Below are 7,229 nucleotides of genomic sequence, written 5' to 3'. Positions count from 1 at the left end.
CAAGGAGGGCTTGGAGGGCTCATATCATAGGGTACTCTCATAGGGTATAGGAGAAACCTCATGTTTCCGTGAAGGCAAAAGGTGTTGACACTGAGTCTTTCCTTTCATAGAGAGACTTAGCATTGTCCAAAGAAGTTGTTTACATTATTAGATGAGACTAAACTTTAAACAAGATAGGACTAAAAGTTAAAAGTTTCTGCACTAACCACAAATTAGAAAGACCAGATTGGTTTGGGCAAAATAGAAGAGAGAGATTTCTTTGCAGATCTGAGTTGAAATGTGAGTGAATTTTGTGACTTTACAACATTTTAATGCTACAGAATATCTCTAAGCATATCCATATAAGGAGGCTGCACAGGGAAAAAGAGGGAGCGAGATAATCTGAAAATACATCCAACAGATTTTTGCTTTAAAAAATGCATTAGTCCCCCATCCTTCCTCTGTCTCCAAATCCAGTTTATTTTTAATATTTCAAATGAATTTGAAAACCTATTCTCACCACTTTGGCACCAAAAATGTGTATTACAGAATTAAAACACAGGTTACATTTTTATACATTTGGACATGTTACATGTCCAATTACGTCCCTTAAACATAAACACTATACAGTATCCAGTAAAAAGTCTGATGGGGATAAACTTTGCCAGAAGATGAGCCATGAGTTATTTTCTGTGACACCTTCATTATGAGAGGTTCTATCTTAATAGAAAGCTAGGTCAGCTTGAGCTCTAAGCAAGTAACAACTCACCTTGAAAGACGTGGGCCTAACTCCATTGCTGTGCAAACTTACTCCAAGAGAAAACAATCCTGTGCTCGAAATTGGCCTGGGTTGAACTAAACACCAGTGTGGTAAATTATGCTTCTACCTATCAGAAAATTGGCTATGGCTCACGTAAGAATAAGAATCAGGAAAAAAATCATTTGCCTAATTTTTCCATCTCTGAGTGTATACCAGCAGGGATGAATGGCACACATATTCGGCTGTGTCTGCTCTTCTACTTTCCTGGGGCCTCTGTAGCTCTAAGTTCAAATATTAATAATGAGGGAAGCTTGCAGCATGCCTGTAGCACCAGACTAGAAATCAGATCTTGTGTGACATTAAGACATTATGCTTCTTTGCAAGTATAACCTTTAGTGAATTTTGAATGCTTGGCATATTTGTTTGAGACATAATGGCTTCTTAATTTTTAAACTATAATAAAGACCATTTATGAGGGCTCAATAGTTTTTATGTTATTACATTTAATTATCACAACATCCTTATAATGTAAAAAAAATCTGCGTTTGTAATAAATAAGGAAACTGATATTTAGAAAGATTGAAGTAGGTTGTTTAAGAAGCAAGATTTTAATCTAAGTATATCTGTCACCAGAGCTCTTTCCATAAAACCAGGCTCTTAGCTCTATAAAGTCTGGATATCTCATCATGAATTTGGTTTGCTTCATGTTTGGTTATGAAGTAAAACATCTGGTGCCATAGACTATGCCAGAGATGTGATATTTACCTTTTCTAATTGCCTCTTTTTCCCTGGGAAAGCAAGAAAAGACTCTACGTGGATTTCCCTCCAATTCAGTGGCCTGAATTTCCCCTAAAGAAATATAAACTTCATGATAGTTGAGTCAACTCTAAGACTGCCAGTTTTCACTTCACTGGATTCATGCTTATATAGTTCATTTCTATCTATTTTCCCTACCCTTGACTATAAACCAAGAGATATAAGCCTAGTCCTGACAACTGCTCCAGGCAGTGGTGGCAGGTTGGTCACAGCCTGAGCTCCATGAGCAAGTGCCCCTGCCAGCCCTCAGCCCACAACCCAGCTCCCCTTCAATCCCCTGCACACACACACACCTGCCCACGGGGCTCCGTGCCCTGAAGCTGCAAGGGTGCTCATTTACCCTGGCTGGAATGATGATGAAGTATTCCTAGGCCAGAACAGGCTCCAGAATTTCTGAAACCAAATGTTCACTGCCTTGTGACATTGGTACTCAAATCCCTATAGCAAACATGCTCTGACCAAAAACACAGAATATGAGGAGGTGACCCCTGCCCAGAAGCTCCTGTCCCAGTGACTCCTGACCAAGACCAGTGGGATGTCCTGCTGGGCTGAGTGGCTATTTCTTGCCAATGATGCTCACCCAGTGTCCATCCTGGAGGACTCTACTGGGCACCCACACAATCAGAAGTGACCACCTTCACCTGTAGCATCAACCATGCCCAGCTGATGGTGGTGGAGGGACGATGTATTTACTGTGTGAACTCTGAGAACTGCACTAGTCCGAAATCCTCAGGGAAGCCTGGGTGTTCTCTAGCTTATCTAGTATCTCCAGAACTGTCCAGGAACTTGGTCATGCTCTTTTCAAAAACAACATGATTGTAACTGTGAAGAGTTTTCAATATATCTTGGCCAAGCTGCCAGATGATGCACCTTCCAAAACACCTGCTGGGACAGCCAAGGAAGACAAGGGGAAGGCAAAGAAGACAGCACTGACAGCTGCGGAGAAGGCCAAGGACCTAGTGAGCAAGGCAACCACTGAGACACAATAGCAGCAACAGTGCATGTAGCCAGCCTGGGCCCTGCCCACCACTGCCACAGCACTCCGGATGACCTGGTTCAAATCCCTCTGCCCTTTTCCAATTTACTTCCAGCCTACCTACTTCCTGGGTGGTGGGTTGAGGTTGGGTGTCCTGTTGGCATCTACAGAACACCAGGCATACCCATATCTGAGCCAGTCCTGCTTATTTCCCCATTGGGCAGCTGAGGTCAGAAGCACAGAGAGGTGTGGTGACTTGCACAGGATCACAGACAGGCTGCAGATAAATTGGTAATAAATGCTAGACTGCAAACTCCATGAGGGCAGGGATCTTTGTTTTGTTTTGTGATGTGCCCCCAAGTACTTGGCACATATCTAGTACATATAGACATTCAATAATTATTTATTGAATTTAAAAAAAAGAAAATAAATATAGGCCTGAATTTTTCCTCCCTCTTTACACTAATTCACTTCAGGAGGGCTGTGGCAGTTGAAGATGGCGGTGGTAGGGGGCATGCCTTCCATTGTGAAGGGCAATTGCTGAAAGGTGGTGAAGAGCCCTTCATCACTCTTCCCACCTCTACCACTGCTTTTCCAAGACTCGCACTCATACTCCATACTCCATCCACACATTTTTGAGAATTAACTACCTGAAAGGTGCTATAAAGGCTCCCAGAAATGGAACACAATGTCTTATTAACAAATGCCTTAAAATTCTAAGTGTGGTAGTTCCCATTCTCTGGCAAGAGACTCCTCAGGGACTTTGGAGTTTTTCAGAATTCTCCTTAGATTGAATAATATTTTAGTTTTTCAAATCTTTGTAGGTGCAATAGTGATTGTAAAATGCAAAATCACTTAAAATCATTACTGGGTAACTTCCTGTCAATAGATATTTTCTTAAACAATAGATTCGAAGTACAACTACTGTCATGTGGTGGGAGAGGAAGTCTGTGACTTTTTAAAACAATTCTTAGTGAAGAATTTTAGTATAATGCCTGCCCAAGGTGAAAAACATGCAAATAATTCAGCAGAGTCAAGAGTGTGAGTCCCTCCCTTGCCTGTTCTAGTGGTAACTACCATTCACAGAGTCTTATGTATCCTTCCAGAAACTTTTTAAACATACAAGCATATGTATATATGTACACACACATATATCACAACTATCTAATTTTTTGACAAATAGGACTATATGCAATAGACTATCTTGCAACTTCCTTTTTTATTTAATAAATTATTGGAAATCATTCTTTAGCAGTTATTTTTTTAAAAAAACTTTAAAGGAGATCCTCATTCCTGCCTGGAAATTATTGCCATATGCTATTCCAAAAAAGATTTAGAACCCCCCTCCCATATTATCAATTGACAATTATTTGTCAGGTAATTACTCTGTGTCTAATAACATTCTGCACACTATGAGATATCCCAAACAATTATTAAGGTGGTACATGATTTTAGGGCATACAATTGTAATTGAAGAGCCAGAAACAAATATCTGAATTATAGGTAAACAAATAAGATTCAGCATTATCTCTTTAACCCTGAGAAAAAGAGACAGAGCAATGTGACAGGATATTGGAAGAGACTGAGGAAGGAGATAAGAATTCAGGTAAGTTCTGAAAGAGGGATAGGATTTGGACATGAGGTAGAGAGAAGAGAGGAAGACATTGTAGACTAGCAAATGTAAGAACAAAGGCACCGAGATAGAAATTCACACGCTAGCAATAGTTTAGCCATAGAGAGTGACCAGGGAGGACAAGAGGTGTTCTGGGAGTGGAGGAGAGAAGATAGACAGGGAGAGAGAATGGGACCAGATGACGCAAGAGTTTGAAAGCCATAAATAGGAGTTTAAGCTTTTGTAGATCCATGCACAGGTGACTGGCATCATTCATTCATTTATTCGTGCGTTCATTCATTTAACAAATATGTATAGAGTGCCTACTATGTGGCAGGCACTGTTCTATTTACTGAACAAACAAAGATTCATGCTCTCATGGAGCTGATTTGGAAAGAGGGGATGGAAGAGGGGATGGAAAATAAGACAGATAAGTAAAATACTGACTGTTTTACATACGTAACATGAAATATACATGTTACCTATGTTAAATGCTCTGGAGGAAAAATTAAGTAGCATATAGAATAGCAAATTGGGAGGTACAATTTTAAATAGGATGGAAATGGAAAGCCTCAAGTAAAAGGTGACTTTTTCATAAAGACCTGAAAGAGATGGAAGTAAATCAAATGCATACCAGGGTTAAAAATAGATTGGCAGGGATATGGCAAGTGCAAAGAACCTGTGGCAGCACATACATGCATGTCAGAGTAACCAAAAGTATGTCAGGTAATAGTGTGGCAAGACTAGGACTGGGGAGGAGATAAAAGGAGATAAGGTGGGAAAGGTGATGACTTGGTGTGTGAGCAGTTGGTGTGAGAACTTTGGCTTTTTCTCAGAGACAGAGCCATTGGAGGTTTTCAATATGAAAAATTATATAATCCGACTCAGTATAACAGGATCACTCTGGCTGCTGTGTTTCATAGAGATGGTAAGAGACAGGAATGGAAATAGGGGGATCTGCTGGGAAGCATCTTGCAATTCAGTTGAGAAATAATTGTGCCTTGGAACAGGGTGAGAAACGGTCAGATTTAGAATGTAATTTAAATGTGTTCAATAAGATTTGCCAGTTAGATGTGGAGTGATAGAGAAAGAGGCATCAAAGATGGTTTCAAGTGTCATGCCTTGAGCAACTTGAAAGCTTGAGGAAGACCCAGTAGTGGAGCAGATCTTTGGGGAAAGGTCAGAATTTCAATTTGAGACATGTTGAAGGTGTATATTAGGCATGCAATTCAAGTGGAGATACACAACTAAGTGTATCCAAGAGGTTTAGAGAAGTGGTCTGAATCAGACATATAAATCAAGAGTGGTCAGCCTTTAGTTGGTCTTCAAAACCGTGAGACTAGTTGAGATCACCAAGAGTGAGAGTGGACATAGAAGAGAAGGGATATGAGGACTGAGCCCAGACGAGCATCAGATTGGCCTGGATCACAGTTATGAATACCTAGACCCAGAGAAGGAAGCAGATATGAGCTGCTTTGATCCAGGCATAAAATATGAGAGCCAAGACCAGGATCATGGATGGGGACAAGCTTAAACTCATATCATCCTCTTTGTCTGCCATTGTTGCAGGATTTAGGAGGACGAGAGTGACCTCGGGTTGAAACAGGAGAATCTTGAGTGCACTCAGGCCAGCCGACTCACGTCCAAAAGACAGGGCTTGGAATAAAGACAGCACTTGACTTTTATATACACTTTACAAAAGGGAGTGGGCTAGCTTGAAGCAAGCTTACAGTGGCGTGAAAGCAGGGATACAGAGGCAGAACAAACTTAGGATTGCACATAACCGTTGCCAAGCAACCCAGGTGTCCATTATCTAGGTTTGCCTGGGCACGGGCTTATCTCCTAACCTTCACTATGGTGCCCAGGCAGCTGTAGTTCAGGCCTACTCAGGCTTCTTATGACCTTTGTTGTACTTCTTAGATAAAACAGAATTCTTGAAGTCACTAGTTATAGAGAACAGGGATCTATAAACTCATTTCATAAAATAAAGGAAAATTTGTTTTTCTTCTCCCTTTGTTGAGGGAGTGCTGGGAAAGTCTCCAGAGAACGTTAGATAATATTATCAAGACTTTTCCTGGGTCTGGACTGTGCCTGTTGCTGCCTCTGGGACAAGTCAGCCTAATACAGGAAAACTTATTTCTCTTTCTTTTTATTTTTCTTTAATTTACCACCTCACCATAGTCTCAGATTTAAATTTGTTGTTTTATAAAAGTTCAAGTTTCCTGCTCTAGGTATGTGATTTAACATCAGCCAGAATTATTAGCTTAAATTTAACAAAAGTAAATATTATCTAAAAATATTCTATCCAGACAGTTAAATCTTTCCTCCTGCCTGGTGTTGGCAGCACCTCTAAATTCAGTATCATAATTTGATTTTAATAATAGGCTGTCTCCTTTCTTGTCCAGAACATTAATTAGGAATCAGGATAAGGCAAGGTGTGCAGACCTCAGCTTTTCTCTTCTGTTTGGTCATTCTGCCTTAACTCACTCATTAGTCATGCTTCAGCCAGTTTTTAAATGTGCCAATCCTTATTCAGATCAGTTTGAATTCATTTAATAAGTTACATCTCTTAAGTAAAGCATTTGATGCTAAACCTGAGAACAAAATCTTTAATACAGTATTGCCATGACTATGTCCATTGCTCAATAAAAATCCATTAAAGCAGCAATAACGTGATTTCACGCTTGGTGTATGAGAGCTCAGGATGCAGAAGTCATTTTCTAAAAAGTTAAGTTCCTAGAAGTTAGTACACCCAAAAATTTCTAGGGAAATGTAAAAAGTCTTTTAAAAAACCAACTGTCAAGTTCCAAAATCTGTTTGTTGAAAAGTATAAGTCACCTCTATAACTTAGGGAAGAAAAATGAAATAGATTGGTCAAAATTTCATTGAACTCATTTTGTCTTCTGATCAAACTCAAATCTTTGGGTGGAAACTCTTTCACCAGCTTTCTCCACACTTGGCTCTCACCTCAGTGCATAAAAAGCCAATGAGAAGCTGATATAGCTTGGATGTTGTCTCCTCTAAATCTCATGTTGAAATGTAATGCCCAGTGTTGGAGGTGGGGCCTGATGGGAGGTGATGAATCA

General features: G+C 40.0%; 1 protein-coding gene and 1 pseudogene across 1 annotated transcript in view; one reads left to right on the top strand and one right to left on the bottom strand.

The window, feature by feature from the left end:
• Positions 1-7,229, bottom strand: part of SCGN (secretagogin, EF-hand calcium binding protein) — a 49,569-nt gene that overhangs the window by 20,452 nt on the left and 21,888 nt on the right. The window lies entirely within an intron of this gene.
• Positions 1,909-2,553, top strand: PRELID1P2 (PRELID1 pseudogene 2; annotated as a pseudogene).

Source organism: Homo sapiens, chromosome 6, assembly GCF_000001405.40.
Source record: "Homo sapiens chromosome 6, GRCh38.p14 Primary Assembly".
Taxonomy (NCBI): Eukaryota; Metazoa; Chordata; class Mammalia; order Primates; family Hominidae; genus Homo; species Homo sapiens.
This window is presented reverse-complemented; position numbering and strand designations above follow the sequence as displayed.